Here is a 14,206-nt window from a genome sequence, read left to right as displayed (position 1 = left end):
GGATGGGTCTGAAAGGGTTTTTAAAAGCTGGAGACTGGAGCCATAGCTGCCCTCTGCTGCTAAAGAGATGTGCCAGGAGCTGCAAACAGGAAGATGTTGTCCAAGGACTCTTTCTCTCATCCTCTCATGTTGCAGTCTCCTGCCAATGCTGCTCAAAGGCAGAATTTAATGGGAATCTATCCAGCAGAGGAATCTGGGAAATGTAGCTTGCAGACTTCTAGTAGAATATAGAGAAAATGTGGGCTTGGGACTCAGAGACAACAAAGAAATAAATGTCACAATAGGCCACTGAGTTCTTTGCAGCTGGTTACTGCCTGGAACTGGAGATTCATTTCCTCCCAGATGTGATGCGTTCACCAGGGGATACACTTCAGAAGTGGGGTGATCTGAGGAAGACCACGTTTCCCCATGTTGCCCCCTCCTGATCATCTTCCATAGCACCATGAGCACAAAATAACATGTACACAACATACTCCACTGATGGGAATTAAAACTACAAGGAAAAGAACTTAAGTTAGGGAGCATAATGTGGCTATTCTTAGTCTAAAATAGGGGTTCTCAACCTTGGTTCTACTGACATTTAGAGGTAGATAATCCTTTGCTGTAAGGGGCTGTCCTAGGCATTGTAATATGCTTAGCAGCATCCCTGGCCTCTACCCACTAGATGCCAGCAGCACCCTGCCCTAAGTTGTAACAATAAAAAATGTCCCCCAACATTGCCAAATAGTTGGAAAGAGGCAAAATCACCCCCAGTTGGTCTAAGAGTAAAGCACAAAAATTTAAACCTTAAGCATTTCCCTGTGGGTATTTTCCAATTCCTAGATTTACTTCTCTTCAAAAAGAGCCCTTCTAATGTCTTTCTATTACAACTATATCCCTCTTTCTGGAACATTCTATATCTTTCCCACAGGACAATTGGTTATATCATGGAGAGATCCCTTCTCATAAGAAAGAGGGGTGGATATTATAACTCACAACTTACATTTCCCAAAGTGTAAATTATGTGTTCTAAAATAGCCTCAAGAACCAGGGTGCATTATGGCACTCAATGCCTGGCCCATCTCAAGGTCTCTCCATTAACGTGTGGTGGCAACGCTGTAATATTCAGAAGCTAACTGCCTTCACCTCCCACACATCCCATGCAACATGAAACTATACTTCTCAGAAACCATGCAGTTGACACTCATATTGAAGGAGGAAATTTTTCATATGTGCGATATAATCTTCCTCTTGCTGCAGCAGAAATAATGTTTCACTTTATGGTATGGTGCATCATCAGCTTCTCTTTATTCATTCTCTGACAACCAGACCATGCCTACACATCTGTTGATAGATAAGAGTCTCTTCAAGCAACAAAGCCATATAGCCCTCTATAGCTACACACAAACACTTTGAAATGACATCTTGCTTTACAATGTAATCTTATTTTTAGGTAAGGTAGCCACTACAACCCTAAGTGGAAAGCAACAAGAATAAAGATATATTTTCATCTTATTCAGGTTTGGAAATTGGAGTGGGAGGATGGAAGACTGTTCTTTTAATTATACTCTCACTGGATTAATGATCTCTTGCTGACAGTAGTGCCCTGGATGTTTAAATGGACATTCTAGAACCTCAGCTTTTGATGGTAGTTATGAACAACTAGAAAAAAACAAAGACTTGTCATAAACATCATTGGTTTGTTAATCTTTACCACATTCTGGTGTGATTACAAATATAAGGGAAATAACTCTCAAATATCAAGTAAACACTGAGAGCTGACATCCTTTCCCATTTTGAAAATAAAAAGCCCTGTGTTTCACATATAACTTGAGCACTCTACCATATTTTAACTGGCATATGTCTATTTCAGAAAGCAATGTCATAATGCCTGTTTTTGGGTTACAGAAAAAACTAATGTTTTTATCTTTCACAGCATAGGGCTCTGGAATTACAAGGCATGAGTTCTAGACAATTCTTTGCCATTAGCCTAACATGTCTCATTTAATGCCTCTGGATTCAATTTTCTCATTCATAATAAGGGAATGAATGAGGTAAACACTAAATATATTTTCCAGTTCCACGATTCTGTAAACCAAAGATCACCTTCCGTAAAACATGGATAAGATAAAAAAATGCCTCCACCAAGATAGGTACAGCATTAGTCACTGTCGTTATCCAAAGAGAAGTCAACTCATTATGGTAAACCATATAAATCTTTGTCAGTGGCTTTGGTGCAAGAGTTACCCAAATCTGACTTTATTTCAGACAATGCATTACTATGAATAGCCAGATAGTGAACAGAACCTGGACAATTCTCTGCTCGTTAGGCTCATTCATTAATGAAGGATTGATATGGTACAATATTTGCTTTTAAATAGGCTGTTTTGTTGTGGTGGTAAAAATAAGAGTTGATGAGATGAAGCAGTAATCTAATACGTTAATGGAATACACTTTTTTTTCCCCAAATCAGTGAGAAATCTCTATTACAAAGTATTCTTTGTGGGTATGAATAAAAGCTGATCAAATGGTATTTCTAGTTCTAGATCCTTGAGGAATTGCCACACTGTCTTCCACAACGGTTGAACTAATTTACACTCCCACCAACAGTGTAAAAGCATTCCTATTTCTCCGCATCCTCTCCAGCATCTGTTGTTTTCTGACTTTTTAATGATCGCCACTCTAACTGGCGTGAGATGGTATCTCATTGTGGTTTTGATTTGCATTTACACACCAGGGTCTGTCAGGCGTTGAGGGGTAGGGGAGGGATAACATTAGGAGAAATACCTAATGTAGATGACAGGTTGATTCGTGCAGCAAACCGCCATGGCACGTGTATACCTATGTAACAAAACTGCACATTCTGCACGTGTACCCCAGAACTTAAAGTATAATTTTTTTAAAAAGCTGATCAATATGTGAACATTGAGATTTCTTTCCATAAATTGTGGATTTTGCAGAAATAATTGGTATATGCCTAAGTAGTATTTTTTACTCTGGCTTATAATTATTCCTTTTATTTTCCCATTCTTTCTTCATCAGTTTGATCATTTTTTTCTTCCTTTTGAGGCCCCAAAATACAGTTATAGAAAGTTTGTGAAAACCGCTTTATATGAGGAAATGGTTATATCTTCAATCACCAACAAAGAAATAAACAAAGGATTTGAGTGCTGGAAGAGCCATCATACATAATTCATTCAATATCTACTTGTCCATCAGTTATTTCCTAAAATTGAGAGAGAGCTTAAGTTTAATGTTTTGTTATCTCCCTCACTCTTCTTTAAGCACTAGGAACTTTCCATCCTTATAATTATTTCAAATATGCCACAACATTAATTACAATCAAACAGTTCTGTATCCTAATCAGATCTTGGACTCAGAGCACCCATAAAACTATTTTTCTTTGTATATGTAATAATATTCAGTTTGAACTATTCTTGGCTGAGGTCCCAAGACAATAAAGGTCACAATTCAAATCAAGTTGTGAGGTATCTATGCAGGACATGTAAAGGTAGTCTTTGATAACCAGTTTTTGCAATTCTTAGTTGAAGATCCACCTTTATACTACGAAAGAAATTTGGAGAAGATAAAAGGGTCAAATTAAAAGTTAATATTTTGGAGAGAGCTGCTGTGATGCTATGAATCCTACCTTGCCCTCAAAGTGGAGACCATAATGGGCAGGGAATGAGTTTTGAGGAAAATACTTGGAGAGTTTAAAATGAGTCCTTTGAGCCTTGCTGCCACAGTGGCTTTGTGTCCTCCCCATTCCTGAAAAATTTAACATAAGAGAGGCTGACTGGTAGTAGAACAAAGAAAGATGGGTGCGTTCGAGTCAGCCTGCATGCCCAGAGTTTTTGTCACTTAGGATTTGTATGTGTTCTATGCACCAGAAATGGGCTTCTTTGCAAAGAGAGTGCTGAAATAGGCACCATCTTAGGTGCTGTCCAAGAAGACTCTGCAGGCACAAAAAGACAGGAGAGAGAAGCTGTAAGTAAACCATGGGCTGCCCACAGACTGAAGAAGTAGTTTGGGATCAGCTGAATGCGTGCATTTACTCATGTCAAGGGAACTGATTGTATGATTTTGTATGGATTATCCCTAGAAAGCAGAGCCTGAGACAAGAGTTTGAATACAGATATGCTATTTTGTAAAGTGAATGAAAAGGAGTGGGAAACAGGCAAGAAATAAGAGGAATAGAGGAAAGCTTATGCAAGTGTGTTATTGAGCTAGGAGCAAGGTAGAATGTGTCTCAAAATTGTCTACATGACAGACTTCACATGTTCTCACTCATTTGTGGGACTAATGACTGAAACAATTGAACTCATGGAGATGGAGAGTAGAATGATAGTTACCAAAGGCTGAGAAGGGTAATGGGGTGGCAGGAGTGAGGATGGCTAATAGCTACAAAAATGTAGTTAGATAGAATGACTAAGATCTAGTATTTGATAGCACAATGGGGAGATTACAGTCAACTATAATTTATTGTACATTTAAAAATAACTAAAAGTATAATTGGAATGTTTGTAACGAAAAGAAATGATAAATACTTGAAGTGATGGATACTCAATTTACCCTGGTGTGATTATTATACATTGTATGCTTGTATCAAAATATCTCATATACCTCATAAATATATACACATACTATGTGCTCATAAAAATCAAAAATTAAAATTTTTAAAAATGTCCACTTTCTTCCTGAGAGACAGGGAAAAAAAGCATTTATCTATGGGGCAGCAACTCCCTCATACTTGCCTGTGTGTTTCAAATGGGTTCCCAGAGGTGTCATACACAGTAGCATCAGAAAATCCACACTGCAGAAAGAAAGAAATGTATGGTGCACCAGAGATAAGATGCAACCAGTTACTTCTGAACTCTGTGGTTCTCAGAGCAGTGACTGAAGCAAAAGGTCATTAGTCAAGAAGATGGGAGGTAAGGCATATGAGGTGTCTGATACATACGATATCTTCAAAGAATTCAAAAAAGTATTGTCAAAGAATGTGTCAGATTTTAAACTTGACAAACCCAAAGAGAGTGGAATCTAGACAATCATACAGGTATTTGTCAAGCTCCTGCTGCTTTCCTCTAAGCCCTTCTCTCTTCTTATAACTATGTTACAATACTAATTATTATTATATTTAAGTTATATGTTATAATAACAACAATTATTATAACAGTGGACTGAAGATGTTAAACAGCTGTTATTCCTTTAAAGGAATAGTAGATAAAAAATGAAGTAACTTTATGATTACATCCACCATGGTATTTCTGTTAATAAAAAAAAAAAGCAGTTAAACAACTGCATATGGAATAAAGTTGTGGCTTTGGCCCTGCCATTGGTTATAAGTTTATGCATCTGTGGAAGTCTGCTTTTTCATGTGTGGAGGATAAATCAGAGAAAGGACAAGAATCCTTCTTGTATTTGATGGATTTGTTTTAGTATAATGAATGCCTGGGAATTTTCAAAACCATGACCCCATGCTGCTATGGACACCACCATTCCACTGAGTGAAGACTGTTTCCATATAGCCTTATATAGCTCTAGGAAGCACAGTCCCAGAAGCTGCTATTTAGTGGAGAAAAATATTAGGGATTAATGCTGGGAACATTTGCTACCATCCTCCACGATTTATTCAGACAATGCCTTATATCCCATTTATTGCAGGTATCACCAGATGCTGAGCCTATGGAATTAAAATAGAGGTCTCCTAAAAAAGAAGAAGAATCAGACTGGCATCAGATGATCCAGAAAAAATGGAGGGAGAAGACAACAGAGCAAGACCTTCAAAGTTATGAAAGGACTACTATATCCAGTCAAACTGTCAATTAAATAAGAAAACAAAAATAACCTATTTTGAGACATGTGAAAACTGCAGAGGTTTACCTCTCATGCAGCCCTTTCCATAAATTTTTTTGAGGATATACTCCAGTAAAATAAAGAGGAAGATGTAGATTGTACAAAATCATAGATCTACCATAACTCAGAAAAGATGCCTCTGATCACCCATTCTAGGTCAATTCTGACCTTTCTTTATTACACCACCTTGGTCATTTCCTTCTTAGGCTTATAAAAATCTATATTTATTTCCTGTAAGTTTATTTAAAATGTATTTCTTAACTTGCTTATTCTTGGCCTCACCCATTAGAAGGTAAGCTCCATAAAAGGTGACTATGCTGTATCAAGGAATCTTGTATAGTGTCTGGTATTTAGGTAACAGACAATAAATATTAAAGAATGAATAGCATATCTCTATTTTTTAACTTGAGTTAAACCAAACTCCATAGGTGAGACTTCTAAGAGCCTTTAAAATGCTTTTTGAATTTTCATAATGGAGGCATAGTAAGAATTATAGCCTAAACATAGAATCCTGGTAGCATCTTAGATGGTGGTTAATGCTTTGTGTAACACACTCTGGCACTTTTAAAATTGTAAATCAGTTTAATTTTTATCACAAATGTCCAACACTTTTCTCTTATGAAGAAGTAAGAGTCATAAATCAATTGAGAGATTTCTCCCAGTACCTGTGTTTTTGTGTGTGTGTGTGTGTGTTTTTCCTTAAGAGTTGGGGCCCGGCACAGTGGCTCATGCCTGTAATCCCAGCACTTTGGGAGGCCAAGGTGGGTGGATTACCTGAGGTCAGGAGTTCGAGACCAGCCTGCTTAACATGATGAAACCCCGTCTCTACTAAAAATACAAAAATTAGCTAGGTGTAGTGGCGGGCGCCTGTAATCCCAGCTACTCAGGAGGCCGAGCCAGGAGAATCGCTTGAATCTGGGAGGTGGAGCTTGCAGTGAGCCGAGATCACGCCATTGCACTCCAGCCTGGGTGACAGAGTGAGACTCCATCTCAAAAAAAAAAAAAAAGAGTTGGAAGGTTCCTTTAGTATTACCTCAACTGACCACCACAACTACATTGAGACATGTGTTGAGAGGTAAACTTACTTTTTTGAAATAGATAATCTTCATAAGGTTGATTTTCTTTTTGTAATTTGGTGACCCACTCAATTTCTAACTTATTAGACAAGGACAACATGTGGGGGTCACCTCTCTGCCCTTCACACCACAGAGCACAGCTGCAACACAAGGATACACAAAGGAGCCTATCTACCACCCATTGCTCTCAAGTGTTATCTACTGGAATGCAGTCCAAACTACAACACCAAAAACACTTTGCTAATTTCCCCCCACTGAGAAACTAATATGGTTTTGTTGTGTCCTCACCCAAATCTCATCTTAAATTGTAGTTCCCAAAATCCCCATGTGTCATGGGAGGGACCTGGTGGGAGGTAATTGAATCATGGGGGCAATTATCCTAATGCTGTTCTAGTGATAGTGAGTTAGTTCTTACAAGATTTGATGGTTTTATAACAGGCTTTCCCCGCTTCGCTCGGCATTTCTCTCTTCTGCTGCCACATGAAGAAAGACATGTTTGCTTCCCCTTCTGCCATAATTGTAAGTTTCCTGAGGCCTCCCCAGCCATATGGAACTGTGAGTCACTTAAATGTCTTTCCTTTATAAATTACCCAGTCTCGAGTATGTCCTTATAGCAGCATGGGAATGGACTAATACAGAAACCAAAGATAAGAATTTAATATAAAAAAACCCTCTACAGAGACTTACCCCTCTGAAAACCTCCAGAACAGAATGCACTAACTATACTCAATATACACCACAGTTCAAGGAACACCAGCCTTCTCATATGAGAAAGAATTAATGCAAGAACTGTAGCAATTCAAAAAGCTGGAGTGTCCCCTCACCTCCAAACAAGCCCACTAGCTCCCAGCAATGGTTATTAGCCGGTCTGAAATGGCAGACATCGAATTCAGAATCTGAATAGCAAGGAAGCTCATCAAGATCCAGGAGACAGCTCAAACCCAATCCAAGGAAGCCAAACAATCCAGTGAAATGATTCAAGAGCTGAAAGATGAAATAGTACTTATAAGACAGACCTAAAATAAGCTTCTTGAGCTGAAACATTCACTACGAGTATTTCATAATACAATTGGAAGTATTCACAACAGAATAAACCAAGCTGAGGGAAGAATCTCAGAGCCCAAAGACTGGTTCTTTGAATCAACTCAGTCTGACACAAATTTTTTAAAAAATTAATGAACAAAACCTCTGAGAAATATGAAATTATGTAAAGAAAGCAAATCTATAATTTATGGGAATCCCTGAGACAGAAGGAGAGAAAATAAGCAACTTGGAAAATATATTTAAGGTTATAGTCCAGGAAAATTTCCTAAATCTTATTAGAGAGGTTAATAGGCAAATTCACGAAATATAGAGAACTCTGGCTAGATAATACACAAGAAAATGATCTCTGAGGCACACAGTCATCAGATTTACCAAGGTCAATGCAAAAGAAAAAAAATCTTAAAAGCAGCCAGGGAGAAGGGTCAGGTCATGTACAGAGGGAATTCAATCAGGATGGCAGTAGACCTCTCAATAGAAACCTTACAAGATGGAAGATATTGAGGCCCATTTTCAGCATCCTTAAAGATAATTCCAATCAAGAATTTCAAACCCTGCCAAAGTAAGTTTCATAAGTGAAGGAGAAATAAAATCCTTTTCAGACAAGCAAATGCTGAGAGAATTCATTTCAACTAGACCAGCCTTACAAGAGGTCCATCAGAGAGTGCTGAACATGGAATCAAAAGAATAACACCTGCTACCACAAATACTCACTTAAGCACATAGCCCACAGACACTACATAACCATAGCAACTGCATAACCAAGTCTACATAACAACCAGCTAATGACACAATCTCATATCTCATACCATAAAATATGATCTCAAAATCTCATATCAAAATCTCAATCTCAAAATCTCATATCAATACTAACCCTGAATGTAAATGGTCTAAATGCCCCCTTAAAAGACATAGGGTGGCTAGCTGGATAAAAAGATAAGACCCAATCATCTGCTGTTTTCAAGAGACCCATCTCATATGTAATGACATCCACAGGGTCAAAGAATTGGAGAAAGATCTACCATACAAATGGGGGAAAAAAGAACAGGAGTCACTATTCTTACATTAAATAAAGCAGACTTTAAACAAATGGGAAACAAAAAAAAGCAGGTGTCACTATTCTTACATTAGATAAAACAGACATTAAACCTTTAACAATTAAGAAAGATGAAGAAGGCATTACGTAATGATAATGAGTACAATCTCAAAAGAAGACTTAACCATAGTAAATATATGCACCCAACATTGGAGCGCCTAGATTAAAAAAAGTTCTTGACCTATGAAAAGGTTTACATAGCTGCATACAACTACAGAATATACATTCTTCTCATCCACATGTGGAACATATTCTAAGATCAACCACAAAAGCAAGTCTCAATACATTTAAAAAATTGAAATCATACCAAGTACACTCTCAGAGCGGAGTGCAACAAAAACAAAAATCAATATCAAGATGATTTCTCAAAAGTACACAAATAAATGGAAATTAAACAACTTACTCTTCATTTCAATAGCTTTTGGGGTACAGGTGATCTTTTGTTATATAGATAAGTTCTGTAGTGATGCTTTCTGGAATGTTGGTGCACCTGTCACCTGAGCAGTGTACACTGTACCCAATACGCAGTTTTTTATCCCTCACCCCACTCCTACTCTTCCACCCTTATGAATCCCTAGGAAATACTCATCTCAACATTTGTCTCAGCAAAGAATATTTGGCTAAGCCCCCAAAAGCAATTGCAACAAAAATAAAAATACACAAGTGGGATCTAATTAAAGTAAAGATCTTCTGCACAGCAAAAGAAATTATCAAGAAGTAAACAGACAACCTACAAAAGGGAGAAGATATTCACTGTGTGAATATCTTGATATTGAACTATGTGTTCAACAATGGCCTAATATCCAGACTCTATAGAAAACTTAAAGGAAACAACAAGTAAACAATAAATAACCCCATTAAAATAACCCCATTAAAGTCTACTATATCAGTCTTATTCCTTTGCATCCTCATAGCTTAGCTCCCGCCTATAATTGAGAACACACAATATTTGGTTTTCCATTCCTGAGTTCCTTCATTTAGAATAATGGCCACCAGCTCCATCCAAGCTGCTGCAAAAGACATTATTTCATATATATATATATAATATTTTTTATCCACTCATTGGTTGATGTTCACTAAGGTTGGTTCCATACTTTCCAATTGTGAGTTGTGCTGCTATAAACATGCGTGTGCATGTGTTTTTTTCATATAATGACTTCTTTTCTTTTGGGTAGATACCCAGTAGTGGGATTGCTGGGCCAAATGGTAGTTCCACTTTTAATTCTTTAATGACTCTCTGTACTGTTTTCCATAGTGGTTGTACTAGTTTACATTCCCGCCAGCAGTGTAAAGTGTTCCCTTTTCACCACAGCCATGCCAACATCTAATTTTTTTTTTTTTTTTTTTTGCTTTTAAATTATGGTCATTCTTGCAGGAGTAAGGTGATATTTCATTGTAGTTTTAATTTGCATTTCCCTGATAATTAGTGATGTTGAGCATTTTTTCATGGCACTGGTACAAAAACAGACACATAGACCAATAGAACAGAATAGAAACCCCATAAATAAAGCTACACACCTACAACTATTGGATCTTTGACAAGGCCAAAAAAGCAAATAGAGAAAGAACTCCCTAAATAAATGGTGCTCAGATAACTGGCTAGCCATATGCAGAAGATTGCAGCTGAAACCCTACCTTTCACCATATACAAAATTAACTCAAAATGGACCAGAGATTTAAATGTAAGACCTCAAACTATGAAAATTCTAGAAGGCAAGCTAGGAAATACTCATCTCAACATTTGTCTTGGCAAAGAATTTTTGGCTAAGCCCCCAAAAGCAATTGCAACAAAAATAAAAATACACAAGTGGGATCTAATTAAAGTAAAGATATTCTGCACAGCAAAAGAAATTATCAAGAAGTAAACAGACAACCTACAAAAAGGGAGAAGATATTCACAAACTATGTGTTCAACAATGGCCTAATATCCAGACTCTATAGAAAACAACAAGTAAAAAATAAACAACCCCATTAAAAAATGAGCAAAGGACATGAACAGACAGTTCTAAAAAGAAGACATACAAGCTGCCAGTGAGCATGCAAAAATGCTCAGCATCGCTAATCATCATAGAAATGTAAATCAAAACCACAATGAGATACTATCTCATACTTGTCAGAATAGCCATTATTAAAGAGTCAAAAAACACAGATGCTGGCAAGACCACAGAGAAAAGGAAACACGTATACAATGTTAGTGGGTATTGTCCAGCCACTGTGGAAAGCAGCCTGGAGATTTCTCAAAGAACTCAAAACAGAGCTACCATTCAACTCAGCAATCCCATTGCTAGGTATATATCCAAGGAAAAATAGATCATTCTACCAAAAAGACACATGCATTCATATGTTCTTCACACATTATTCACAATAGCAAAGACACGGAATCAACCCAGTGCCCACCAATGGCAGTCTGGACAAAGAACATGTAGTACATATACACCATGAAATACTACCTAGCCATAAAAAATAATGAAATTAAATCCTTTGCAGCAACATAGGTGCAGTTGGAGACCATAATCCTAAGTGAATTAATGCAGGAATAGAAAACTAAATACCACACTTTCTTACTTACAACTGGGAGCTAAACATTGAGCATACATGGAGATAAACAAGGGAACAATAGAAACTGGGGACTATTATATGGGAAAGGAGAGGGGCATGGGTTGAAAAACAATCTGTTGGGTGCTATGCTCACAACTTGGATGACAGGATTGTACCCCATACTTCAGCATCATGCAATATTCCCATGTAACAAACCTGCACGTGTACCCCCTGTATCTAAAATAAAAGTTGATATTTTAAAAAAATACAAAAACAGACTAAGAAATCTGGAAAAATAAATATATAAATAAAATGTAAAGTAAAGAAAAATGCTTCATTTAAAAAATCAACTAAATACAAAAGCAGACAGTAATGCAGAAAGCACATGACAAAAAAGCTATAAGGTACATAGAAAACAATTAGCAAAATCAAATAAATAAGTCTTTTTTATGAGTAATTACTTTAAATGTAAATGGATTAAACTCTCTACTCTAAAGACAGAGATTGGAGGAATAGATTTTAAAATATATGATCCAACTATTTGCTATCTGCAAAGGATTCACTTTAGATCTAAATACACAAATAGGTTGAAAATGAAAGGATGGAAAGAGATGCTTTATGCAAATAATAGACACAAGAGACCATGGGTAACTATACTACTTTCAGACAAAATAGACTTTAAATTTTATACAAGATTGCAAGACACAACAAAAGGCATTATATATTAATGTTTGCTAGTACAGCTAGACAGAAGATAAGTAAGAAAACAGAGGACTTGAACACCACCACAAACTAACTAGATGTAACAGACATATACAGAAATCTCTATCCAACAACAGTAGAATGTACATTCTGCTCAAGGGCAAGTGGAACATTTCCTAGGATGGGCTATATTTTGGGCCCTAAATTAAGTCCCAATAGAGCTATAAAGATAGATATTATACAAAGTATCTTCTTTGACCACAACAGGATGAAGTTAGAAACCAATAACAAAAGGAAAATTGCAAAGTTGACACATTTGTGGAAATTAGAGAAATAAATAATGGTTACCAGCATCTGAGAAGGGTAGGAGAGTGGGGGGATAGAGAGAGGTTGCTTAATGTGTACAAAATTACAGTTAGAGCAGAGAAATAAATTCTAGTGTTCTATAGCATAGTAAGGTGATTATAGCTAACAACAATTTATTGTATATTTCAAAATAGCTAAAAGACAGGAATTAGAATACTCCCAACACAAAGAAATAATAAATGTTTGAGCTGATAGACATCCCAGCTGCCCTGATTTGATTGCCACATTTGTAAACATGTATTGAAATATTACATGTATCCCATAAATAGATGTAATATTAGATATCAATTAAAAATTAAAAATAAGTTTAACAAAACAAAAATAATAAGTATTGCCAAGAGTGTGAAGAAGTTGGGGAACCCCTATGAATTATCAGTGGGAATGTAAAATGATATAACCACTGTAGAAAATTAAAAATAAAATAAGAAATATGAGTCAGCAATTCCACTTCTGAGTACATATTCAAAAGAATTGAAATCAGAGTCTGGAAGATATATTCATACACACATGTTCATAGCTGCATTATTCATGATTAGCTGAAGTGTAAGCAACCCAAGTGTCCACTGAGGAATGAAGGGATAAGTACAATGTGGTATACATATATCATATTAGTCAGGGTTCTCCAGAGAAACAAAACCAAGAGGATATACATAAAGGAAGAGATTTATTATGAATAATTGACTTACACAGTTATGGAGGCTGAGATGTCACACAACCTGCTTTCTGCAAGCCAGAGAGCAGACAAGCCAATATTGTAACTCCAGACTGAGTCTGAAGGTCTGAAAACCAAGGGAGTGAATGGCATCAATTCCAGCGAAAGGACAGAAGAAAACTGATGTCCCAGCTCAACAGGTAGGCAGGAAGCAAAAAGGGGTAAATTTCTTCTTCCTCTGCTTTTTGCTCCACTCAGGTCCTCAGTGGATTGGATGACACCCAACTGGGGAGGGCGCTCTACTTTATTAAATCCACCCATTCAAAGGCTAAACTCATCTGAAAACACCCTCACAGATACATCCAGATATAATGTTTAATTTGGGCACCCTTTGGCCCAATCAAGTTCACACATAGAATTAACCATCACACATACAATGGAACATTATTTTAGCCCTCAAAATGAAGGTAATTCTGACAAATGCTACGACATGATTGAACCTTGCAGACATTATGTGAAGTGAAATAAGCCAGTCACAAAAAGACAAATACTATATGATTCCACTTACATGAAGTACTGAGAGTACTTAAAATCGTAGAGACAGAAAGTAGAGTGGCCATTGTAGGGGCCAGGGGGAGGGGAAATGGGGAGTTATTTTTGCATGGGTGTAGGGTTTCAGTTTTGCAAGACGCAAAGAGTTCTGGAGACGGATGTGGTGATGGTTGCACAACAACATGAATGTACTTAATACTATTGAACTGTGCACTTAAAAGTAGATAAGATAATAAATTTTATGTTACGTGTGTTTTACCATAATAAAAAATTGGGAAAATCAGATTAAACACACCTTTAAAAAGAAAATAATCATTCTCCAAGTAAAGAAAATAATCACTCTCCAAT

General features: G+C 36.8%; 1 long non-coding RNA gene across 1 annotated transcript in view; it reads right to left on the bottom strand.

The window, feature by feature from the left end:
- BALR6 (B-cell acute lymphoblastic leukemia associated long RNA 6) overlaps nucleotides 1-14,206 on the bottom strand; it is a 306,371-nt gene that overhangs the window by 60,296 nt on the left and 231,869 nt on the right. The gene's annotated exons all lie outside the window — the stretch shown is intronic.

This window comes from Homo sapiens, chromosome 3, assembly GCF_000001405.40.
Source record: "Homo sapiens chromosome 3, GRCh38.p14 Primary Assembly".
Classification (NCBI taxonomy): Eukaryota; Metazoa; Chordata; class Mammalia; order Primates; family Hominidae; genus Homo; species Homo sapiens.
This window is presented reverse-complemented; position numbering and strand designations above follow the sequence as displayed.